Source organism: Homo sapiens, chromosome 2, assembly GCF_000001405.40.
Source record: "Homo sapiens chromosome 2, GRCh38.p14 Primary Assembly".
Lineage (NCBI taxonomy): Eukaryota > Metazoa > Chordata > Mammalia > Primates > Hominidae > Homo > Homo sapiens.
In genome coordinates this window covers 107,448,110-107,475,494 of record NC_000002.12, presented here as the reverse complement: position 1 = coordinate 107,475,494, position 27,385 = coordinate 107,448,110, and the positions used below count along the sequence as shown (strand labels likewise).

At 38.2% G+C, this 27,385-nt stretch overlaps 1 long non-coding RNA gene across 1 annotated transcript in view, besides 1 other annotated feature; it reads left to right on the top strand.

The window, feature by feature from the left end:
- LINC01885 (long intergenic non-protein coding RNA 1885) overlaps positions 1 to 27,385 on the top strand; it is a 159,884-nt gene that overhangs the window by 67,077 nt on the left and 65,422 nt on the right. The gene's annotated exons all lie outside the window — the stretch shown is intronic.
- Positions 5,496 to 5,996: an enhancer, noted in NCBI's record as "H3K27ac-H3K4me1 hESC enhancer chr2:108085955-108086455 (GRCh37/hg19 assembly coordinates)". NCBI's record gives its function as "activates a minimal SCP1, AML or CMV promoter by ChIP-STARR-seq in naive H9 embryonic stem cells {active_cell/tissue: H9 hESC(naive)}" and the evidence as "EXISTENCE:reporter gene assay evidence [ECO:0000049][PMID:30033119]".

The following is a 27,385-nucleotide window of genomic DNA, read 5'->3' as shown; positions in this document are numbered from 1 at the left end:
TGGGGATTACAATTACCATCTTAATTCATAAAAATTTATTTCACATTAACACCAGCTTCATTTCAAGAGCATTTTTTAAAAAGTCCACATCTATATATCTCTGCTTGTACTTCCTCGTTTCTTTCATTATTGACATATAAATTCCCTGTTTATACATTGTATGCCTATGAACACAAATTTATAATTGCTTTATGCGATTGCTTTTAAGTCAAATAAAATAAAGTGTTACATACAAACATATATTTATACTTTGTTTTATATTGACCGACATACTTACTTTTACTGTTGACTTTTCTTCATGTGGATTCAAGTTACTGTGTAGCTATGTAGTTTTTTTTTCATTTTACTTTAAGATATACCTCTTGATGCTTTTTGTAGAATAGCTCTAATAAAGCAAATTCTCTGTGTTTATTATATAGATACATTGAATTTTTCCTTAAGTTTTTTTTTTTTTTTCTTGAGATAAAGTCTCGCTCTGCCACTCAGAATGGAGTGCAGTGGCACGATCTTGACTAACGGCAACCTCTGCCTCCCGGGTAGCGATTCTCCTACCTCAGCCTCCTGAGGAGCTGGGATTACAGGGAAGCGCCACCACACCCAGCTAATTTTTGTATTTTTAGTAGAGACAGGGTTTCACCATGTTGGCCAGGTTGGTCTTGAACTCTTGACCTCAGGTGATCCACCTGCCTTGGCCTCCTAAAGTGCTGGGATTATAGGCATGAGCCACAGTGTCCTGGCCTTGAATTCTTCCTTAAGTTTTAAAGAACAGTTTTACTGAATGCAGAATTCTTCGTTGATAGTTTTCTTTTTTCTTTTCCTTTGATTTGAATATACCACCTCACTGTGTTCTGGCTTCTATGATGTCTGACAGGATTTCATTCAGGCTGCTTTGTACATAATGAGTCCTTTTTTCCTTGGTGCTTTCAAGATTCTTAGTCTTTGACTTTTGAGAGTTTAATCATGGATGTATTTAGTTGGGTATATCTTTGAGTTTATCCTATTTGCATATGCCCTTGAGTTTTATGGGTGTGTATATAATGTTTTCAATAAATTTGAGGAGTTATTAGCCATTATATCTTCAAATATTCTTTCCACTTTCTTTTCTCATCTGCATCTAGAATTCCCATTATAAATATGTTGATGTAATTGATGTTGCCTCGAAACTTTAAAAGGCTCTTTTTATTTTTATTAATTTTTGGAAGCCCAGCTAGCTCAGTCAGTAGAGCATGAGACTTTTATTTTTATTAATTTTAAAAATTCTGTTTCTTAGACTGTATAACCTCAATTGATCTATCTTAAGTGTACAGATTATCTTCTCTGTCCACTTGAAACTGCTGTTGATTCCCTCTAGTGGTATATTTTCCATTTCAGATACTAGATTTTCAACTCCAGAAGTTTAATCTGGCTTGTTGTTTTGCATTTCTATGTTTTTATTTTTTATTTTTTCTATTCAGTGAGACATTGTGCTCATACTTTATTTAATTCTTCAGATGTGGTTTCAATTTCTTTGACTGTATTAAAATGTTCAAAGTCTTTGTCAAGTAAGTCCAAATCTGGGCTTCCTCATGAAAAGTTTGTATTGTTTGCTTTTTTCTTATGTACGGTCTATACTTTCATATTTCTTTTCATGTCTCATAATATTTTTTGAAAAGTGGACTTTTAAATTAATATAACATATAAATGTATTATAATAAATACTAAATATAATATGCTATGGTATAATATAATAAATATAATATAATATAAATCAGATTCTCCCTCCTCTTCAGAATTTGTTATTGTTGCTATTTGTTGTTTTCCTTGTTGTTGTTTAGAAACCTTTCTAAACTAATTCTTTAAGTCTATGTACTTTGTTGTAAGTGACCACTGACAGCATTATTTGGTTACTTTAGTAATCATTTACTGAATGAACAGATTTGTTGCTATTTTTGTTTGTTTCTTTAGTTCCAGAAAACAATAAGCCTCCAGTTTTTGTTGGGGAGTTCTGCATGTGTGGGGGAACATGCCTGCAACACTCAGGCAGTTTATAACTCTGTCTTGCCTTCATTTTCTCCTTTTACAGAGTCTTGAAGCCAGTCAGATGTGAAAGCTTAGGTCCTCCTCCAATCTTTTCTGAGGATATGAATGGTTCTGCATGTTAGAGTGACTTTCTGGATTCCCAGGAATGTGCCTGAATTTCTCAAGGCCCACTGCTAACATCTTATTTTCTAGTTTGTCCTTAACAGATTTTTCATTAGCTTATTTGTCCCAATTGTTATCACCTCCTCAGGCAGCTACAACATTAAACAATTGCTGCTGATTCTTTTTGCTAAACACCTCTGAAGAAAATACTATTTGTGCACAATTCAGCTAAGAGTCATATCAAATAAAATAAAAACCAGTCTTGGGATTGAGTTTCCACAAAGAAATGCCAGATAGGTCAAATAATACTAATCTCTGAGAATGGAGTTTTGAAAGAGCTCAATTTATACTGACTCCTCCAGTGGTGCTAGGATTATGGTTTTCACTGTAGCTGTGAGTTGTCAAAGACACCATGAAGCAGGAGAAAGGGTTGGAAAATATGGCAAGATAAAATGCCACAAAACTCACAACCCTCATTTAGCTACTTTAAAAAACAATGCCTTCTGGATTCTTGCAAAACATTGGTTAATCCCTAGAGTTCTGAAAAAGTTGGTTTTGAAATTTTTTGCAGGGTTCTCTTTGCTTTTATGAAGGATAGGATTTGGGGAAGTTTATAATCTGCCATTCCCAATGACATTACTGAGAACTGTTGTTAAAATTTGATGTAGGCAAAGATTAATTAATAGGACACAGGAAACAATACACATAAAAGAAAAAAGTGACAAAAAGACATAATCAATATTTTTTAAATTGCTCATTAAAACTCATCTTTAAGGAAACTAATAGTTAAGCCACAGGTTTGGAGATTAGAGACACATATATCTAACAAGGGCTTTTTACCTAGAATACTATAAAAACTCAAACAGATTAAAAAACGGAGAAAAGACTTGAAAAGATACTTCACCAAGGAAGATATACAAATGGCCTACAAACAACCAGTTCTTTATTTCTAAATATCATTCTTAACTAAAAGGAAACATGTTTCCTTAGATAAATGCCTAATGCCACAGCTTGGACAAGGAAATTCTACAATGATCTTGGGACATCTTATTGCACCAGAAAGTGAAGATATGATGAATGGAGAATGGTGACATGTCAAAGGGGCACAGGAGCTTAAATGAATGGGATTGCAATGGCTGGTCCTGGAACAATTTGAGCATAAATATAAATAATTATAGTAATAGATTATTATCCTTTGTGTAATTTTAAAAAATCCATTAATATATGATATAAATAAGCAAAACAAATAACCATGTAAAAAATAATAAAGAACATTAAGCTCTTCCTTACAGTAGAGTATCAATCAATCAATATAAAAAGAATAATGAGGTTAGAAAATTATCAATTTGTCTTACAAGTTACAGGTGAAAATTTAATGTGAAACTAAATATTTACATGTCTCAAATTATCTCCCCATAAATTACTGAAAAGGAAAAATGGTAGCTCCATTGTAGAGAAACCTGGCCAACACCATCTTTACCAAGTTATCAAACTTCACATTACCAACACTGGAAAAAACTGACATCATTTGCCTCTGAATAAGATATTCTAAGAAGGATGTAGTATCACTGTTATGCTATTGCTACGAAAAATGCAGAGTCTAATCACGAGGCAACCTCAGACAAACTCAAACTGAGGTACATTCTAAAAAATAATTGATGTATACACTTACAAGATGTCAAAGTCAGTAAAGATATGGAAAGGCTGATAAACTACTTCGAATTAAAAGAGACTAAGGAGATATGAAAACTAATTACAGTGTATGCTACTGCATTTGATCTTGGGCTAGGAAAATATTAACTATAAGAGACATTTTTGGGAAAACGGACAAAATTTAAATGGGGTAATGGGTTACATCATTATATATTAATCTTTAGTTTGTTAATTTTGCCAAATGTACTGACATTATACAAGAGAATGTACTCATTCTTAGGAAACACTAAACTATTTAGGAGTAAGTATGATGTTTTCAACAAATCATACAGAAAAAATACATATCTATATATATATAGAGAGATTCTTATGTATATTCTACATATAGATATATACGGGGAATTATAATGTAAATGAGGCAAAACATTAACATATGCTGGTTATGAACAAAGGGTATATGACAGGAATGTTAGTAAAAACCTAAGAAACAACTTGATGGTAACTTTTTAGTCTTCGTCTTGCTTCCTTTGTCCTTAACATTCAACACAGTTGATCATTCTCACCCTTGAGCTATTTCTTCACTTGACTACCATGAACCAATTGTCACCTGGTTTTCTTCTTGCTTCTCTGGCTGTTCTTTCTCTACTTTGTCACTTTCCCCCACTATCCCAACCTCTAAATTTGAGTATTCCCCAGACCTCTTCAATTTCCTATCAACATTCATTCTGTAGGTGATCTCATCCAGTCTCATGGATCTATGTGCTGATGACTCCCACATTCAGATGTTGAGTTCCTGATACTTCATTTTCCGCATACCACCTTAATTTCTAAAGTGTTCTTCTCTATCCTTATTAATGGCAAGTCTATCCTTCCAGCAATTTAGAACAAAACCTTGAAATAATTCTTGACTCTTTTTTCCCCCTTTCCCATCACATATCACAAAATGCTGCTGGTTATGCATTAGAAATATATCCAGAATTTACTTCCTACTATCACCTCCACTACTAGCGTAGTTTAAGCTATCACCATATTTGCCTAAAATATTTGAAGTTTTTAAAACAAATGTATTTAGTATCTTTGTTTCTGAACATAGTGTCTAGCATGATCCTGTTAAAATAGTAGTCATATTATGTCACAGTTCTGCTCAATATATCCCCATATTACTATGTAAATAAATAAAAGCTCTTCCTGACCTGCGAAGTTCTGCATGATGCTTCTCTGACTTCAGCTACACCTTACCTTGTCATTCTGTCCACTGTAGCCAGCTTGGTCTCCAAGCCATGTCATGAGCATATGGACATGCTGCTTCTTCAGAGCTTTTGCAACAGAGCAGTCTTGCTCACTCCTACATTTCCCTTGAGTGCTTGCTGAGATGTACCTTGAGTAAGGCTTCTCGTGGTCACTGCAACTAAAATGTCAGTGCCTCACCAACTACCACCACACTTCCCAACCCTCTTTCCTGTCTTGTTTCCCTTAGCTGTGTCAAATATGTTTGTGTGTGTGTGTGTGCGTGTGTGTATCTTGTCTACTTTCTCACATTCCCATTCTAGCTATTTGTGGTAGGGATCTGTGTTTCTTCACTGTTGTTTCTGTAGCACATAATAGGGATTAAAGATTAGTGACTAAATGAATGTGAAATATATTTTCACCTTTCAATATTATGAACCTTATAATATTATTTACCTTCTAATATCCTGTAACAAATTGAACCTATAGTTTCTCACCTCCTCCAATTATTTTATTACTAGATTAATAGATAGATTAAAATCTATAACCTTTAAACAAAGTCTTCACAGGCTGGAGCGCAGTGGCACAATCATGGTGAGAGGTGACAACGTCCTAGCAGCTCTGGCTCCCTCTCGGCACCTCCTCAGGCCATGGCGTCCACTCTGGCCATGCTTGAGGAACCCTTCAGCCTGCCGCTGCACTGTGGGAGCCCCTCTCTCTGCTGTCCCAGGCCGGAGCCAGCTCCCTCTGTTTGCGGGGAGGTGTGGAGGGAGAAGCAGGGCGGGAACCCGGGCTGCGCATAGCGCTCAGGGGTCAGCGCGAATTCTGGGTGGGCGTGGGCTTGGCGGGCCCCGCACTCGGAGCGGCCCAGGGCAGTGAGGGGCAATGCGCTCGAATTCTCGCGGGGCCTCAGCTGCCTCCCCGCGAGGCAGGGCTGGGGACCTGCAGCACGCCATGCCTGAGCTTCCGCCTCCGTGGGCTCCTGCACGCCCGCGGGAACCTCCCCGACCAGCGCCTCCTCCTGCTCCGCTGAGCCCGGTCCCAAGTCCCATCAACCGCCGAAGGGCTGAGGAGTGCAGGCACATGGCACGGTACTGGCTGCCCGCGCCCTGGTGCAGGATCCACTAGGTGAAGCCAGCTGGGCTCCTGAGTCTGGTGGGGACTTGGAGAACCTTTATGTCTAGCTAAGGGATTGTAAATACAATCAGCACTCTGTGTCTAGCTCAAGGTTTGTAAATACACCAATCAGCACTCTGTGTCTAGCTCAAGGTTTGTAAATGCAGTTATCAGCACTCAGTACCTAGCTAATCTAGTGGGGACTTGGAGAACCTTTATGTCTAGCTAATGGATTGTAAATACACCAATCAGCACTCTGTGTTTAGCTCAAGGTTTGTAAATACACCAATCAGCACCCTGTGTCTAGCTCAAGGTTTGTAAATGCACCAATCAATGCTCTGTGTCTGGCTAATCTAGTGGGGACTTGGAGAACTTTTGTCTAGCTCAGGGATTGTAAACCCACCAATCAGCACCCTGTCAAAACGGACCAATCAGCTCTCTCTAAAATGGACCAATCAGCAGGATGTGGGTGGGGCCAGAGAAGGGAATAAAAGCAGGCTGCCTGAGCTAGCAGCAGCAAGCTGCTTGGTTCCATTCCAGAGTGTGGAGGCCGTGTTCTTTCGCTCTTTGTAATAAATCTTGGTGCTGCTCACTGTTTGGGTCCGCGCTGGCTGTATGAGCTGTAACACTCACCACGAAGGTCTGCAGCTTCACTCCTGAGGGCAGTGAGACCATGAACCCAGGGGGAGGAATGAATAACTCCGGATGTGCTGTCTTAAGAGCTGTAACACTCAACCGCAAAGGTTTGCAGCTTCACTCCTGAAGCCAGCGAGACTGCAAACCCACCAGAAGGAAGAAACTCCGAACACGTCCGAACATCAGAAGGAACAAACTCCGGACACACCGTCTATAAGAACTGTAACACTCACTTTGAGGGTCCGAAGGAACAAACTCCGGACACACCGTCTAGAAGAACTGTAACACTCACTGTGAGGGTCCGTGGCTTTATTCTTGAAGTCAGTGAGACCAAGAACCCACCAATTCCGGACCCGATGGCTCACTGTAACTTTGAATTCCCAGGCTCTGTGGGTTCCCCCTGCCTTAGTCTCCTGAATAGCTGGGACTACAGGCACACAGAATCATGCCAAGCTACCTTTTTATTTTTTGTAGAGAGGAGGTCTCGCTGTGAAGCCCAGGTGGGTCTCAAACAGGTGGACTCAAGAGATCTTCCCACCTCGGCCTCCCAAAGTGCTAGCTTTACAAATGTGAGCCACCATGTGTGGCCACGAACTCTTCCAATGAGCTTTTATTAAAAAAAAAATAATTCAACTATTCAATGTGAGCCAAGGATGTGCCAGACATTTGCTAGATGCTATGAATAAAATATGACCAAGAGTCAGTCTTTGTTCCTATGGACTTTATAGTCTAGTAGTAGATGAGACTCATAAGTAATATGTAGCCAAAAATAAAATTTACTATATTACGGAAGAATAGAATGCTATATTCTTCAGTGCCAATGATTATCTTTTCATGTTCTTCTTACTTGGGTTTTGACAACAATTGATGATGAAAAATGTAACACTGGATTTCAGTTTGTATTCTTATTTTCCAACATGATGGAGGTGTTATCTAGTGTGAGATGATTAAGGGAGACTCAGGAAGCAGTGGGTAACCCCAGCTAAAAGCAAACACATAGTATATTGGAAGATGAGGTAAACAGAGCAAAGCATTAACGAATCTGTGCTTAAGAGTCAGCGAGAAGTCTTTTGCATAATCCAGTGAGAACTATTGCAACAGTGTTACATATTTAAATCCTTTTCAGTCTTTCAAATAGCATCTATCTACAATAACTCTCAGAGACAACTTAGCAAGGTTTTTCAATCCCTTATCTGCTTTTCATAGCTCTGTGTTGGCAGAAATTCCTCCTTGAAGGTCAGAGGCCACTTAAGTCTGTAATGGAGATCTTGCTTGAATAAACTGTAACTCTGATTTCCTTTTTTTTTGGATTTTGTTCTATTAGATTTACAAGCAGAGCAAAGTTGAAATAGTCATACTGTGTAGGTATTAGTAGAAATAAACACATGAATATATTTAAGCATACACATATATTTAAAAGACTCTATACCTCCTGTGGGGATTGCTGGAGTTGCTGAAGATGTCTATATGGAAATCCCCAAATAAGCCCAACATTTTATATTACAGTCACAGCCATGTGTTGCACTCTCCTAGTTGACCTAATAAAGACTAAACCGAGAAAAAGAAATACAGGAAAGCCAAATATGCATAAGCAGAGAGGAATGTGGGAGAGAAGGTCAGAAAAACACAGCTTTTTAGTAATTAGTGTTAAATTACCTGAGGCATATTTGCATGCACTACGCTCATGCTGATAGCCCAGCACTTCACTTATTTAACACTAGTTTATTCTCTGATCATGATTTTTCCTGTTCCTGAAGTTTTGCAGCTTCTGTGTGCTACTTTACCAATCTACATAAACATTCCTCATCCCACGAGGAGCTGCTTTCCCAGGTTATACAGATCAAATTATTTTGGAGCGTGAAAGTGCACACATGGCCATTTCAGGCTATCAGGTGCTGACCAGCTCTTACTGCTTCTGAATGGCCTTGATTTCAGATGTGCACAAAAAAGCAGTTTACCTGAGGTTGTTGAAACTGCAGTTGGCTCCTGGGCAAAAAAAAAATGCAATGCAATCTCATTCTGTGATATGTCTAATGTCTAGTTATTTACTGTGTGCTTTCCTGACTTTATACTTCCTGAATTCTGGGGCACTCTGAGGGACAGCTAAAGAGGCAATTGGTGCATATCCATGAATTCCCACAGTGTATTGAACCAATGCGCCATCCTATACTCATTGTCTTCTATCAACTTAATGTTTTACTGTGCTTTGGCTGCTGAAATGCTCTCTTCTGCTCACTCTGATAGGAAGAATGCACACTTCCAGAACACTGACATTGCCCGTGGCAAGCAGCCTCTTGGAAGCCAACAAATGGTCCCTCTGTCTTCAGTTTGGGAATGCTCAACAAAGCAGTGTCTATTGGTATTCAGCAATTAAGGAAAGTTTGAAAGCAGAATCATGGTTGAAATGGCTATTTCTTGCAAATAGCCAATTATTTGCAAGAAAAATAGGACACCAGTTGTGTCCTGGTTTTCAGTCTAGTTTGGAGGAGACTTCCAGCTCATCTCACATGTGTCATCAGACCCAAGGGATTTGAGCAGTTTATGTACACATGTCCACCCACTTTCAATTACAGTCAAGGAGAAATAGAAAGAGAAAGACAGCTAAAAAAAAAAAAAGGAGTTTTTCTCTGCAGGCATCTGTGATGTTTCCATATCAGTTGTCCAAGTTCTACTGAGACTGCCCTCCTCGAGTGTTTCTCTGTATTCTTTTTTTTTTTTTCTTTTTGAGAGGGGGTCTTTGCTGTATTGCCCAGGCTGGAGTGCAGTGGCATGATCTCGGCTCACTGCAACCTCCGCCTCCCAGGTTCAAGTGATTCTCCTGACTCAGCCTCCCAAGTAGCTGTGATTACAGGCGTGTGCCACCACACCCAGCTAATTTTTGTATTTTAAGTAGAGACGGGGTTTTGCCATGTTGGCCAGGCTGGTCTCAAACTCTTGACTTCAGGTGATCTGCCTGCCTCATCTTCCCAAAGTGCTGGGATTGTGAGCCACTGCACCTGGCCTTTCTCTGCATTCTTTATGCTACTTCCTTTCTCCATTTGCTTGGCTCTTAAAAGCTTTAATTGTTATTTTCTATTGAAGTTCCTGTCCCTTCCATCTTTTCAGCCTGTAATTTTTCTCTGAGCAGATAGCAAGTCTCAGAGATGTCTGTGTGTCTTAAAAATTATATTTGCCTCTGATGTGAACATTAAGTTCTATCTATTATGTCATTTACCTGATTCAACTACTACGTATAGAAGATGGAAACTTAATATTTGAGGTTAGAGGAAAAAAAGCACAAGGTCTGGGTGTTTTCCAACCAAGATTAAATTTTGTTTGGGGAGTGTGTATGCGTTACTTATCTATATTCACCACTAAGTTTGTGTTTATATTTATACCCATAAACACATATGGACAATGGTGCGAGGAAAATATGAAACTTGGAGGTATAGTAGGTGTTAGGTATCGATAGGTGAAGGGAGGAAGACTCTAATCAGATATTCAAGGAAGACTTCACTGATAATATTAAATTTGATCTGAGACATGAATGTTTGAAGGAGGCAGCCATGTAAAGATCTAGTAGAAAAAGACTCCACATAGAGGAAACCACTTGTGCCACAGCTTTAATGTGGTAGCAAGTCTGATATATTCGATAAAAAACAATGAGAAGGCCAGCCACACTAAGCTTGACTGTGACAGAGTCGTTAGAGACACAGTTGACAAAGCAGGTAGAAGCCAGGTCATGGAGGACTTTGGAATTACATTAAAAATTTTGATTTTGACTTCAGGTGCAGAGACAACCACTGAAACAATTTAAACAGGTGTGGACCGTATTCTGATTTGCAATTAAAAATATCACTCCAGCAGTTGTGTGGAGCCAAATAATAAAGATAAGTTAGGAGGCTGCAAAAGGAAAAAAAAAGAACCCCCATATTGGCTTACATTAGGGTGGTAGCAGTGAAGATGGAGACAAGCTATCATGTATGATACATATTTTCTGGGTCAAGCTTTGTTGATAGATTTGATGGAGAGGACAATGGAAAGAGAAAAAGCATGTTGACTTCTGAATTTCTGCACTGAGCCACTGGATAAATGATAGGGCCATTGACTGAAATAGATGAGACTGTGGGGGAGGTAATTTTAAGGTTTGAAGTATGAAATCAAGTGATTATTTGTGGCACATTAAGCTACTTGTCTCCATGAAGACGGAGAGCTCAAGTAGGCAAGTTGAGTATATGAGACAGAGATTCCCATTGAAGGTTGGAGATACAAGTCTGGGCATCATCAACAAATGTGTAATATGTTTTTTTAAAATGCTATGGTTAAAATTACATATAGAGAAATGGTGATTAGATAAGAGGAGGGGGCTCAAGAGTAAGCCTGTTAGCCAAATCATCTAGAGATTGAAAAGAGAAGAAACCAGCTGAAGAGACTGAGAAGGAAGTCTATCAAGTTGATAGAAACCAGGATTGTGTGTTCTCCCAGAATTCTAAGAAGAGTAGTCAGTTGTGCTGACAAATACGACACAAAGATTATTGACTGTTTTACCAAACAAGACTTAAGCCGGTGGGATCAAGATCTTGGTTGCAGTGTGTTGGGCAAAAATGAGATGTAATAGTGGAATTAGCAGTTATCAATCATTCTTTCAAGAAGTTTGGCTGTAAAGTGCTGTTGAAAAATGGGGCAATACCTGGAAAGAATTGTAGGGTTTAGGAAGGGCTTATGCATTTACTTAAAGTTGGGAGATAGTGTACCACAATGGGAATAAACCAATAGAAAGCGGTTTATTACATAAGACATTAATAATAAAAATACATAATTAATGTAGAAGAAAATTAATGAAAAGGTAAAAGGGGATGGTTTCTACCATGTAGTGAAAAATGATAGCCATGTGGGTACTTTCTCCTTTTTTACAGGAGGGAAAGCAGATGCAGGAGTCTTGGTAGATTTGTAGAAGGAAGAGAAGGAAGTTCCCCTTGGGTTGTGGGTTGTTTCTGTTTCCTTTTCTTTCTTTCTTTCTTTCTTTTTTTTTTTTTTTTGGAGACAGAGTTTCGCTATTATCACCCATGCTGGAGTGCAATGGCGCAGTCTTGAATCACTGCAACCTCCGTCTCCCGGGTTCAAATGATTCTCCTGCCTCAGCCTCCCCAGTAGTTGGGATTACAGGCATGCACCACCACACCCAGCTAATGTTTGTGTTATTAGTAGAGACAGAGTTTCACCATGTTGGCCAGGCTGGTCTGGATATCCTGACCTCAGGTGATCCACCCACCTCAGCCTCCCAGTGTTGGGGTTACAGGCGTGGGCCACCGCGCCCGGCCTGCTTCTGTTTTCTTACAAGGCAAGATTATCATCTGAAATGGGGACATATGATATTTCTGTAAGAGAAAAGTCGTAAAATAGTTTGAATAGACAGTTGTGAAAACACTTATACCATAGAAGTATGCTGCAAAGTTGTCAAATCATGATATGGTTCTGTAGGGATTGTTCCTTTCTTTAAAGACAATCTTGACCATTTCAATGAACACTTCAGCTGTTCTACTAGCCCTTGTTGTGCTACCATTCCACACAATTGCTCCAATATAGAGGAAGCACAGAAATAGAAGTAAAAATATAATTTCAGGATCCTTTGTGTTATCTGAAATGCGTGAATTAAATATTCTGAAAACATTGGCAGAATACAATAATAATTGTTACTCTCCACCAAACCATGCTTTGCCTTTAAATTCTGTTAAATTAGATGTGCCATACACAGTTGGCATTTGCCACAGACATTTGTAAAATTTGTTTATGTCATTTCCATCCTTGGTCAACAGTGCTTTAAATAACCTAAGACACCACTAGCAAGGCTGAGGCAGGAGGTTCACTTGAATTCAAGGAGTTCCAGGCTGCAGTGAGGTATGATCTCACCATCACACTCCAGCATAGGTGACAGAGTGAGACCCCACCTCTAAAAAAATAAAACAAACAAATAACCTAGGTCGCCGCATATCTGAAAAACATATCACTAATATATTTCTGTTAGGAAAGAAGGCTATAATTTTTTTCATATTGGCTTTATCCATTCACTCAACCATTCATTGACTGCTCTTTGTCATGCTGCCAGGCACCAGACTCATACGATTAAACATATTTCAGAGTCTCTAGTGGCAAGGATGCCATCAATTCCATGTAAGAATCAACAGTAAGTAAGAACAGCTATGGAGACAGAGCAAGAGCACAGCCTGGCAGAGAGAGGTGGCTTCTCAGAGGATGGGAGAACATGACACCTAACCTGGGTTTGAATGATGAGTGGGAGTCAGCCAGGTGGAGAGATGGAAGAGGCTATTTATTCCAGGCACACAATCTAATGACTCTTGCACAACTTGAGAACATATGGGAGCATAGCAGGATGCAGGAATGCAATTAGCTCCATATGCTTTGATTGCACCATGATGGAGAGACAGCGATGAAGCTCAAGACTGGGCGTGGGGCAGAAAATGAAGGCCCTTCTGGAGCTGACCAAGGAGGTGAAGTTACCATCAAGAGTATTGGGAGCTGTTCAAGTGAGTTAAGGGTTACATGTATTGAAAGCACTAAGGACATTATGAGGAACGGTTAGTCAGATTTGCACTTTTGGTGTGTTGTTATAGCAATCAAAGAAGGCCATCCACCAGGGTTTACAGATTTTGAAAATGAATACAGAACCTATCTGTTCAGCTTGCCATTAGAGTTATGTTCCATCTGAAGCTCTCTGAGATCATTTCCGGAGGAAAGAAATGCACAAGGGGCCGCCGTGTTGAAATCGTAGCCCGGATTTATCAGTTTAAGATGACACTTAATGTGTCACACATGGATGAGCTAAGTAAGATGAAGCTAATATCATTAGACAATATTTGCATATTTTAAAAAGCAGCTACAATAAAAAATGTCTGAGGAAAATCACTGTGATTTTCCATTTCAAGTTTTCTAAGTGTGATCTAAAGCATTCCTTGTAGCTTGGAGTTTCATTTTTAACTCAACCACTGCCTTAAGAAGACTCTGCCTCACGATGTAATTATCTAGTAATTCGTAAGTTTGACACATACAAGCCACTTGGTCCATGGTATTTTTTGCTACCATTTAGTATAGCTATTTATATTTAGCCTGACTCTGAATTATTTCCCATGACTGCCCACACCCTGCCCCAAATACACACACACACGCACACACACCTGCCATCTGCAATTTGAAAGAAGATGTCATTAACACCGTCAGCCAGAGTTTGTCAAGTCTGACACTAAATTTGTGGGATTTTTTTTTTTCACACCAGTCAATTTTCCAACTCTCTAGACACCAACTGGTTGTCCCACCATTCAACTCTGTTTTGACACTAATTATCTGGCATCCATGCAGACCCCATATGCTAAGGTCTCAGTCCGACAGACTACCCCCACTTCAGATGCCACTCTCAAGTCCCAGGTGGCCACGTGTATTTCTGGCCAACCAGTTATAAATTGAGGGTTTTTGTTGCTCCCTCCTCATGTTTTTAATTTGCTAGAATAACTCATAGAACTAAAAAAAGGTACTTACTATTACCAGTTTATGATAAAGAATGCAATCAGGAACATCCAGATGGAAGAATTACATCAGTAAAGGCATGGAGCTGTCAACCCCTCTCCAGGTGTGCCACCCTTCCAGTACATAATGTCACCAACCTGGAAGCTTTTTGAATCTCATTGTTTAAAAGGTTTTATAGCACTCAAACAACAATCCCTGGGTCCTCCTTAGATGGTGGGGATGGGGCCGAAAGTACCAACTCTTTTAATCACTTGGTCTATCTGGTAGTCAGCCTGGTCCTGAAAATAGTTGGGGATCCTACCCTAAGTCATCTTATCAGCATAAATTCAGATGTGCTCAAAGGGGACTCCTTATGAATAACAGAAGACACTTTTATTGCCCAGGAAATCCTGAGAGTATTAGGAGCTCTGTGCCAGGAATCAGGGACAAAAAACATACACATTTTTATATTATACCACACTACTACACCTGATTATAGAGAATATTAAAAAGGTACTCTATTGGAGAGTGTTTTGTATATTCTAAAGTGAGAGATGATGCAAGTGTTTTGGTTATTTTCAATAATATGCTGCATTTGAACAGCAGTCCTGTTCCATTATCAAGTGTAATGGCCATAATGAGGTAAATGATTTGATTTTAATAGTTTTAATTTTTCTGATCTGACATTTATTTCCCCTACTCTCCCATCATCATTTAGGAGAAAAGTCTCTCAAATATTACCCTTGAAATTTGAATATACTTATGTTTAAGGTGGCTCTAATAGCCAAATTAATACCAGATAAAAAATTATCAATGAGCTGTATCAATCAACAGCCTGCCAAAGATCAATTGCCTTAATGACCTTGATATCAGGGATTGATGAGGCACTCATGGCTGGTGATTAATATGTTTAGTTATCAAGATATTTTTAAAAATGTGAACAGCTTGCACCTGCATTGCCATACCTCACATTTCAGTTAAGAAAATATAGCCAAACATCCAGACATTTGATCAAATGTTCAGTTTTTTGGAAACATTTGGAATGTTTTTTGTTGATACGATTTGTGTTTGTTTGGTACGCACAGCCACTTTTCGTTCCTACAGAAGACATACAACATTATGGAAACCCAGCACGAGATTATTTTCTTTCTGCTTCATTACAAGGTTCTTAACACCTTTATCTATTTTGTTTGTTTGTTTTTGTTTCTTGGAGAATCAACATTCTTGAATAGTTTTGTTTAAATCGCAATCCTCCTCCAAGGATTATAACAGTTTGGCAGTGTTTCATACAGTACAGTTGTTCTGACTGAAAACTACATCCATTTTAACCATAGATTTAGCAGAATATTTTTTCTTTTGGAATTACTTGTTATCGCTCCATTTTCTATTAGACTCACCAAGACCTTGATATAAATGTCTTGAAACAGGAACAGTTTGTATTAATATTTGCCCACAATCCCCTACTGAATGTATTTCTGCATGAGCTTGTATTTTTCTCTGTTGCTTAAGGTTACTAAATGATAATCACAGCAGCCCAGATTTTACCTTCTTATCCTCTGACATTTCCAAACACTCAGATATTAATTCCTAACTCATTTCCTCCCCATTAGCCATACCCATCTTCCTTTTCTCTTAGTCCCTTACCAGAAAAAGTTGCATTTTTCTTGACAAAATTTTTTCCATTTTAACTTTGTATAGGAAAGTGATGCTACACCCTAGAGATCTCTGCTTGGCCTTTTCTGGCTCTGGACTTCTCGGCTTGAGGACGCCCTTAATTCTAACTCCTCTGTCTGTGAGTGGCCCACCCCCAGACGGCCTCTCATGCCCTGCTGTGGCAAGGTCTAGTGGAAAGAGACATGGACTAGAAGTCAGAAAATATACATTCTGACACTATTATTTCCACCAACCAGATTTGGGACTAAGAATAAGTCATTTATCCAGCTTGAGCTTCAGCCACCAATAAAAGGTGCATTCTAAGGGCCCTTCAGACCCCTTCCTCCTAGGGGCTAAATGCCTACAAATATTCAATTTTCCAGAACAGTGTTCACTAAGGGCCCTGTTGAGATTGCTGGCCTTGCCTTTAAGTATCACACCAGGATTCTCTGAGTCATGAAGTCCACAAAGTTAAGGGTCTGAGCATTAATCCTCTGATCTAACTTAGCCTCAAGCTCCACTGATTTTCATAGTCTGACTACTGTTTAGATCAAGAGGAACTGTTCTGTAACTCATTGCATTTCCAGACTTAGCCTGGATCAGGCTCTGCAAAAAAATATTTCAATCAATTATGACTAAGTCACTGAGGGAACTCCTAAATAGACCTAGCATAGCACATTTGGTTTAAATATGAAATAAATGAAATTTTCTCCTTCAATGAAGAACGGAATTCTTCATTTTAAACTAGAAAAAGGCAGTACTTAAAAATAATGGAATCTTTAATGAGGAAACACTGTATAGTAAAAGGGCCCCATCTATTAATGGTAAAAACAAATTGTGAGTTTGGGAAAAATTCATTTGTTCAAGACATTTTTGGTTACTCACAAACGTTAGATGTATTACTGAAGGTTAAATTTTTTCAAATCTTCTTTTAATTTAGGCTTTAAAATATTTCCCTGAATTTGTCACCCTTCATCTTCACTTCTTATCTTTAAAGAAGTATGGATTAAACCTAAGTTCTCCAGATATAAAATGTTTAAGAACTACAAACCTACTGAGTCCCCATTGTTAAATGTTATTTAAAAGTTATTTGTGGGCCAGGCACGGTGGCTCATGCCTGTAATCCCAGCACTTCGGGAGGCCGAGGTGGGCAGATCACGAGGTCAGGAGATCGAGACCATCCTGGCTAACACGGTGAAACCCCGTCTCTACTAAAAATACAAAAAATTAGCTGGGCGTGGTGGTGGGCACCTGTAGTCCCAGCTACTCGGGAGGCTGAGGCAGGAGAATGGCGTGAACCTGGGAGGCAGAGCTTGCAGTGAGCTGAGATCAGGCCACTGCACTCCAATCTGGGTGACAGAGAGAGACACTGTCTCAAAAAAAAAAAAAAAGTTATTTGTGAAAAGCCAAAGCAGCAGGAAGCTTAAGAGCCCTTCTATGTTACATGTTGACACATCTGGGTAAGGAAGTGGGGTTACCACAGGGCCCAAATACAAATGTAAATCTAAGGATGTATGTCCAAGTCTCTTCCTCATCACGGGTAGAGGCATTTTTTACTTAAAAACAAACAAAATTTCAAATATACTCAATCAATCTTCAATCTACATCACTGGTTTTCAAGCATGGTCCTACCTTCAAAGCTTCAAAGGACAGTCTGACTCTCTTGTGATGGGCTAATGCAGCTGGTGATTTTTAAGTTGAAGGCATTGCTATTTACCATTCCAAAAATCTAAGAGCCCTTAAAATTATGCTGAATCTACTCTGCCTTTTCTCTATACATTTAACAACAAAGCCTGGATGACAGCACATTTGTTTACCACGTGGTTTACTGAAGTGTTAAAGCCCTCATTGAGATCTACTGCTTAGAAAAATAGATTTCTTTCAAAACATTACTAAGCATTGAGAATTCCCCTGGTCACCCAAGAATGCTGGTGGAAATGTACAGTAGATTAATCTTGTATTAATGCCTGCTAACACAACATCCATTATGCAGCCCATGTGTCAAGCAGTAATTTCAACTTTCAAGTCTTATTATTTAAGAAATACATTTTGTAAGGCTATAGTTCCTGTAGATAGCAATTCTGCAAATGCGGATGGGCAAGGTAAGTTGAAAACCTTCTGAAAAGGATTCACTCTTCTAGTTGCCATTAAGAACATTCATGACTTACGGAGGAGAAGTCAAAATATCCACCTTACCAGGAGTTTGAAAGAAGTTGATTCCAACTCTTATGGATGACTTTAAGGGGCTCAATATTTCAGTGGAGTAAGCTATTTCAGATGTGGTAGAAATAGCAAGACAACTAGAATTGGAGATGGAGCCTAAAGGTGTGACTGATTACTACAATATCACCAGAAAACCTGAATGGATAAAGAGATGCTTTTTGTGCATGAGCAAAGAAATTGGTTTCTTTTGAGATGGAATCTCCTCCTGGTGAAGATGTTGTGAACATTATTTAAATGATCACAAATGATTTAAAATATTTCATTAACATATTTTAAAAAGCAGTGGCAGGATTTAAAATGATTCATTCCAATTTTGAAAGTAGTTCTATAGTGGGTAAAATGCTGTCAAAGAGCATTTCATGCTACAATGAAATATTCCATGAGAGGAGCAATCAATGCAGCAAACTTCATTATTGTCTTACTTTAGGAAATTGTCCCAAGCACTCATACTGCCAGAAATCACCACTCTGATCAGTCAGCCACCATCAATATTGAGGTAAAACCTTCCACCAGCAAAATTTAGATTACAGTTCGCTGGAGGCTCAGATGACCTGGCATATTTTTTTTAGCAATAAATTATTTTTTAATTAAGATATGAACATTGCTTTTTAGAAATAATGTTATTCGACAATTAATAGATTATAATATAGTGTAAACATAACTTTTATATGCATGGATGTCATTTCATGTTATTTGGGCCCCTTTAAGATAGCATATAGTTGGGTCTTGCTTCTTTGTCCAACTTGCAACTTTGTGCCTTTTAAGTTGTGTGTTTAGCCTGTTAACATTTAAGGTTAGTATTGATATGTGTGGATTTCATCTTGTCTTTGTGTTCTTAGCTGGCTGTGATGTGGACTTGACAGTGTAGTTGCTTTACAGTGTCTTTGGTCTATGTACTTAAGTGTGTTTTTATGGTGGCCAGTAACAGTGTTTTGTTTCCATGTTTAGCACTCCCTTAAAGACTTCTTGTAAGGCAAGTCTGCTGGTAACAAACTCCTATAGCATTTATTTGTCTGAAAAGGATTTTATTTCTCCTTTATTTTTGAAGCTCAGCTTGGCTGGATATAAAATTCTGAGTTGGAATTTCATTCCTTTAAGATGCTGAATACAGTTCTTCAATCTCTTCTGACTTGCAGAGTTTCTGATGAAAGACCCCCTGTTGGCCTGGTGGGATTCCCTTTGTAGATGATCTGCCCCTCCTCTGTAGCTGCCTTTAATATTTTTTCTTTCACATTGACCTTGCAGAATCTGAGGACTGTGTCTTGGGGATGGTCATCTTGAGTAGTATCTTACAGGAGTTACCTGAATTTCATGAATTTGAATAAGAAGGTGGGATCTGCCAGCAAAAGAGCTATGAGAGTGGCTGTCCTGTCCCACAGGCAAGATGGCCCTGTTCTGTTCATATTTGACAGTCAACAAAAGCCAAAGCCACCTAGAGGAGCATGGCAATCCTTGGCATATGGGCATCCTTAGCTGTGCTCCACTGCAGTTGTATTCATGCCAAACCCTTTGGGCTCCCTACAGGCTTGATTTCTGTCCCTGCCAACCTTCCAAGCAGCTTTCCCTGCCAGCTCAAATGTCTGTGGGGGTTATGAGGTCTTCTGCAGCTAGGATTCCAGAGGTTCATGGCGACAGTAGGCCACTCCATGCCTATTTAGCTCACACCTTCCCCAGGAACCACTTGAGGGCTGTAAGGAGTCTTGTTGCTCGGAAACCCCATGCAAGGTTCCCATCTTCCTCCGGCATCAGTCCATGGTCTGCACCCTCCTTTTGTCCACTCTCAATGCTTTCTTTCTGAGAGCGTGCTGGTCTTCATGGTCTGATCTTCAGGTGAGAGAAGCTCTCCCTGGCTGCATTTAGTCGGCCATCTTGGCTCTTATATGTGAAATATTAGTAAGGTATAATAAAAGAGTTTGGTTCACCTTTTGAGTAATCATTTAGCAGCTTCCAGGTGTTCTAGCATCTTCCTTTGGGCCTCCCAGTATCTGCATGTGGCAGAGTCAACTAGGGCCTCCTGGACAGGATGACATGAAGCAGTGAAGATGGGAGCCAAGCTTGGTGCACAGCCAGAAGGAGACAACAGTGTAATATTGTATTGACTCATCGATTGTAATAAATATACCAAACTAATGCAAGTTGTTAATAGGGGAAAGGGAGGGGGAGGCAAAGGAGTGTATGAGAACTGTGTACTTTCTGCTCAATTTTTCTATAAACCTAAAACTGCTTTAAAGCATAAAATGTACTAATTTATTTAAAAAATTTACCTTGACCACTACTCATATCAAACACATGAAAAAGTAATCTCCATGTGAATTGAGATTTAAAGGTAGAAGGTAAAACAATGTTGCTATAAAATAACACAAGTGAGTATTTTCATGGCCTGGGGTTGTGGAAAGATTTCTGAAACAGAACACACAAAGCACTATTACAAAGGGCAATATTGATAAGTTGAACTTAATGAAGATCTCTTATTATCAGAATTCACCATTATAAGGTTTAAAATGCAATGCAAAAAGTGAGAAAAGAAATATATTCACAATATACATATTGACAAAAAGACCCACAGAATCTAAAACAACCCCTATAGATCAATATAAAAATTTAATAAAGATGATATAAATAAATGGGCAAAAGACTTAAACAAGAATTTGTAAAGGATCAGCGTATCTAAATAATTGTATGAAAAAGTGCTCAATGAAATATACAATTACAAACCCAAAAGAATAGCTAAAATTTAAAAAAATCAAAATATAAAGCATTGAGAACATGAAATAATTGCACTCTCATATACTGCTGGTTTGCTATGTAAATTAGTAAAATTATTTGAAAATCTTTTGGGAATATCAGAAAAATGAACTTATGCATTATCCATGACCCAGTAGTTCCATTTCTGGAACTATATACCTGATGACAATGCATTTATGGACTCGTAATAGCCCAACACTAAAAATATCCAAAATGTACATTAACCGTAGAATTAATATGTAAACTCTGGTATATTTTAAAATGGAATACTATATATTCCAGATCACAAGAGTTGGTGAACTACTGTTACAAACACCAACATAGATGAATCTTATGTAAGTTTAATATTGAATAAAAGAAGCCACAACAAAGCAATATGTACTCTATTTCTCCATTATAATTCCAAAAGCTGGCAAAATTAATCTAATGTAAGAAAAGTTAAGATTCAGTTTACCTTTGGGGAGAGGTGAGGGTATATCGTGGGAGGGCAGATGGTTCTCCTGAGGTGCTGGTTTGTTTCTTAATTTGTGGTTACACAGATTTATTCACTTTGAGCTGTACTCTTAGTTCTGTATGTCTTTGTACATATATACCATTATAATAAGGAGTAATAAAAAGATTAATAGAAAATAGTCTTAACACTTTCTTTTTATTTTTGGCAAGATTTCTGTTGGTATTTAATTTAGTTTGGGCAAAATGTGGAATGCATTTAGTTACATGGATAGCATTTACATAGATGCTCTTGCAGGAGCTTTGCTGGTAAACACTAGAATGAAATTTACTTTGCTTTTGGAATAATAAAAAAATGAGAGACTCTATTTGGTCATATTTAATAAAATGATATAGTAGGTAAAATAATGCAAAAGGCAAATAAAAACGAGAATAAAAAATGGATATACCGATGGAGAAAAGAGTTAAAAAGGAAGAAAAAAGAAAGAAAAGCAGTAAACCAGCCATGCTCTGCCTTGGTATACTTTAAAGTTTATGGAACCAATCTAAATTCCTATTCTGTTTCTGAATATAGATAATCAATGAATTGGTATATCTTTAAGTCTGCAAAGTCGATGCTTTCTTTGAATTTGGAAAGACAATATGAACTATGTCTCCTAGAACTCTGAAAAATGCTATCTTCATGATTTTCTTTCTGCCCCAGGGAGTAAAAGCCTCTACCTAGGAAGTGAATCTTATTACTGGGTTATATATCTTTCTATCTTTCACTAAATCCAGTTTATAACTATGGTAATCTGAAAAATATTTAAGTAATCTCAGTGTTGAAAATTATATCATGGCAAAGCTATTAAACTCGGGTAGATGCAGCCCCTCCCAGTTATTTTCTCTTAAACTATTTCCAAACAACCTAACGTGCTTGATACAGAGAAGAAAGAAAATTGTCTTTCTCTTTCTCTTAATCCCCTTAATGTCTAAAAGTATTAAGAACATAATGGAAATTACACTGAAGGATTTTCAAAGACTTTAACTAAAAAGGGCTAAGTCATCCGTGATTGATCAAAGAGAAAAGTGGATTCTTTCCTACATCTTGAAAGACAAAGTTTCAAACCCCTACCTGCAGATTTTCTAAAGAAGCCACTACTCCATTGTTTTCTTGTTGAAGAAAACTGGTGATGGCCACATTAGTATTGTGTTATCCTTTTTTACAATATAATGAAATAAACCACCTCTCAAACTCTAAGTCTCAAATGTAGCAATTCATTAGCATTAACATGCTAATTAATATATTTATCCAAATAGAACACAAATGACAGAATAGCAGAAAGGCAGGTAGAGATGAAATATTCTTCTTTATATTATTTATTAAACTAAATAAATGAATATTTGTTCAACTCAACTCACAGATTCACTAAACAACCCACCAAGTAATAGGAAACCTCAAAGACAATCAGGACAGAAAAGATATGAGCTTTCCACCTTAAATTCCATCCAGATGCAGGCCATGTAATCAGTATACCCAAGAACCTTTGCTCCTTTCTCAGCATGCAGATCTGTGGACAGAACTTGTATAATCTAATGAATGGCTACCTATAGAAGTAAGATGCCTACAGGTTGTCAGACACTATCAAGAGAGGCAAGCCATAGTAGGATGAAGGATGAAAGAGAGAGAGAGATAATACCACTCAGTGTCTGACATCTCCAGCTCTTGGGGAAGACTTAACAGATGTTGTATCAGGTGGGTCCCTCCAGGACTATCATCTATCACAAAAGAGGGCAGAAAATAATACTCAACATCACACCAGCACTAGGCATGGATTAAGAAAATCTTTGTTGGGAAAAGGGAAAACTCACCAGGCCACAGTCTGCAAAGTAGAGATGTAGGTACACCATCCTCTCTGCCTTCTGGCTTCTGTAATTCCACAGAGGTGCACACTAGTTCAGGGCATCTGCTCGGCATGGCTGGGGTTGCTTTCTAATGCAAGAACACTCCCTCTGGAGATCTCCTTCTTTATATTACAGGCCTGAGAAAGCAAATTTTGGAGTGGAGAAATAGACTTTTAGTGGCCAGGCAATCTGGACTTGGGTGCCAGTTGTTTCTATGATTGACTGAAAGGCCCACTGTCCAACTCCTGGAGACTCTGGGCCTGCAGCACATCATTGCATTTCCAGAAGAAGAAGAAAGCCGCTCCCCTCCACCTCTATCCCAGCAGACTTGCTGGACAGCTATATCTGTGAATTCCCAGGGTTACATTGCATTCTCACTCACCACAGAGGAGATTCCTTCTCTCAACCTCCTTATTTGCTCTCTTTTCTCTGTACCAAAATCCAAATAATTGTGGCAAATTATTAAGGGTCAAATAATATTTGTTTCCATCCACAGAGACACCTACAGCTCATAGGGATCCTGTGATCCAAAAAGCATGCTGTGAGTGGTGGCAGAATTAGAATCTGACTTTGAAATCCCATTACGATCACTAAAAATCCTATTACTTCAAGATGGTCACACTTGTGGAGCTTAGCATGGACTATATCATTGGCTGTGGCCACTCCACCCCAGCATGAATCATTCTGATTCCCACGTTTACATGTTCACATCGCAGTTCAGATGATCTTGCTCTTGAATCTGTCTTTTCCCTTCAAATTATTCTTTTTGAATCAAATACTTTCTTTTCATACGTATTCATTTTTCTTTCTATAAGCATTTATTAATTCTCTGGGGCACTTTGCTAGCAGCAGGATACTCAGGGATTGTAGAATATGTTTTCTGCCCTCCAAGCATATCTAGTCTGATGGAAGACAGGAGTGTGAATACATACTGCGTTATAAGAACACAAGACTAGTCTGGGCTTGGTGGCTCACACTTGTAATCCTAACACTTTGGGAGGCCAAGGCTGATGGATCAAAGATCACTTGAGTTCAGGAGTTTGAGACCAGCTTGGCCAACATGGTGAAACCCCATCTCTACTAAAAAAAAAAGTACAAAAATTACCTGGGTATGATGGCATGTGTCTGCAGTCCCAGCTACTTGGGAGGCTGAGGCAGGAGAATCGCTTGAACCCAGGAGGCAGAGGTTTCAGTGAGCTGAGATCATGCCACTGCACTCCAGCCTGAGTGATAGAGTAAGACTCAGTCTCAAAACAAAAAAAAAAGAAAAGAAAAGAAAAAGAAAAAAGGGCACCTGATTACAGGAGCATCTTTAATTCCAACCCTCCCACCTTCTCTGCTTTTCATTTGATTAAGTATGTGTGGAAACAAAACTAATACCCTTTATTTTTAAATACAGAACAAAAGAGAGAAGATTCTGTAAAGGAAATCCATTTCTAGGCAGGATCTAAATTATTTGTCTTCTCAGTGTGTTAAGGGCTCTAACTCATGGTTATGTCTTCTAAGTATTTATTAACTGAACAAACCATCAGTGTCTATTTTGTGATTTGAGCAGAGGTAAGCTCTGGCAGCCGGCATTTTGATGGACCTATTTTTGTAGTCAAATCAATTCATAATTTTACTATTCGTACTTGTGCTGGTGTTGCCAACAGATTAATTCCAGTCCTTCCTCTGAATCCCATAGGAACCCTGGTCTAAGATTTTGTAGTCTGAGGATGTGCTGAAATTATAATAGTCGTGAAGTCCTGAAGGGAGGCAGCCATCTTTTCTCTTCTCTGATCCTATGTAGGCAAGCTTTGCATTCTGAGAATTTTGCTTGAGAGTATCATTCATGATTTTTATGTTGAATAGAACAAAGCAAAATGTTCCAGATACCCAAAATAAAAGGACTCCATCCATATATTGTATTATTATTTAAAATATGAAAGTGTCCAACCCACAAAAATGATTTGTTTTTTCCCCCAATTCTGGAAAAAAGATGAGCATTTTAGAAGGGAGATTTTTGCTGTACTCTGGCACAGATTCACAGGAATTGATGGTCATCAAGTACCATGACTTGGTACCTACGGCAAATAATCCTGTGACCAAACTCAGCAGGAGGCAGTGCAGCCACTCTTCTTTCAGCAAAAATCAATGTGCTCCCAAAGCACTGGGATTACAGGCATGAACCACCACATCCACCATTATGAGAGTTTTTATCATGAATGGGAGTTGGGTTTAATCAAATTCTTTTTCTATATTTATTGATATGATTATATAATTTTTATTTTTAACCCTTTGATGTAATTAATTATGTTAATTTTGTATCTTGAGCCAGTTGTGCATATCTAAAATTAATAGCACTTGATTATGATATATACAATTCTTCCTATACCTTGTTAGATTGAATGCCAAAATTTTGTTGAGATTTTTGCATTTATATTTATAGGGATATAGGTCTGTATTTTTTTTTCTTTCTTGCAATGTCTTTATATGAATTTGTTAGGAGGGACATGCTTGCCTTATAGAATGTGTTAAGAAGTGTTCCATCTGCTTCTATTTTCTAGTAAAGAAGATAGAGCAGGGATCCTCAACCCCCAGGACCAGTACCCTTCTGTGGCCTGTTAGAAACTGGACCACACCGCAGAAGGTGAGCAGCAGGTCAGGGAGCAGTGAGCAAAGCTTCATCTGTATTTACAGCTGCTCCCCCATCCCTGGCATTACCGCCGGAGCTCTGCCTCCTGTCAGATCAGCAGTGGCATTAGATTCTCATATGAGCATAAACCCTATTGTGAACTGCACATGTGAGGGACCTAAGTTGCATGCTCCTTATAAGAATCTAATGCCTGATGATCTGTCACTGTCTCTCATCACCCCCAGGTGGGACCCTCTAGTTGCAGGAAAACAAGCTCAGGGCTCCCACTGATTGATTCTACATTATGGTGAATTGTATAATTATTTCATTATATATTACAATGTAATAATAATAGAAATAAAGTGCACAATAAAAGTAATGTGCTGGAATCTTCCAGAAACCATTCTCACACCCTGGTCCTTGGAAAAATTGTCTTCCACAAAACCAGTCCCTGGTGCCCAAAGGGTTGGGGACGTCTGATACAGAAATCTAGTATTTCGTTTTTAAAACATTTGGTAGATTTCACTTCTGAACCACCTATGTGTTTTCTTTTTGGTAGCGGTATTATTTATTGATTTAATTTTTAATAGATACAGATCAATTAGATTATTATGTATATATTAATTATATATCTATACTTAGATTATCCTCTTGTGTGAATGAGTTTATGTCCTTGTCAGACAAGCTTTTGTTAGGTTGTTTCTATCCAGGAATTGGTAAATTTCAGTTATCAAAATTATGCATATGGTATTGTTTGTAGCATTTCTTTAATAGTCTTTCAGTGATCATATAATGAGTAATAATGACCCCAATTTCTGATATTAGTAATTTGTGTTGTATCTCTTTTGTATTAGTTATCATGGCAGAGATAGATAGATAGACAGATAGATAGATAGATAGATAGAGACAGTTCCAGTGACCCAGTTTGCGAGTTTGAGTTTCATTTATTTTCTCGTTTAATTTTCTATTTTAAATTACATTGATTTCTGTTCTAATATCTATCATTTCCTTTCTTCTGCATTATTTAGTCTTAATCTTCTCTTTATTCTCTACTTTCCTAAGGTGGAAGTGTATTGGTTAAGCTCCAACTATTTTTAGATTTTCTAGCTATCTTTTTAGCTAATTTATCTTTTTTAGTTAATTCCATTGTGATCTGGGAGAAAACTTTGTATAATTTATATTCTTTTAAATTTTTTTGATCTTTGTTTATGGCCCAGAATATGGTCTGTCTTAGTGGATGTTTAATGTGAGGTGAGAAGAATGTGTATTCTGCTGATATTGAATTATACAGTCAATAAATGTCAATTACATCCAGTTGACTGATGGTGCTGTTCAGTTTAACTATATTTTTAGTGATTGTCTGCCTGCCAGATGTGTCAATTACTGATGGAGGTATGTTGAAATCTCCAACTATACCAGTGAAATTGTCTGTTTTTCTTTGCAGTTCTATCAGTTTTTACCACGCTTATTTTGACACTCTATTCTTAGGTGCATGCATATGATAACTGTTATATCTTCTTAAAGAATTGACCACTTTATCATTAAATAATGCTTCTCCTTATTCCT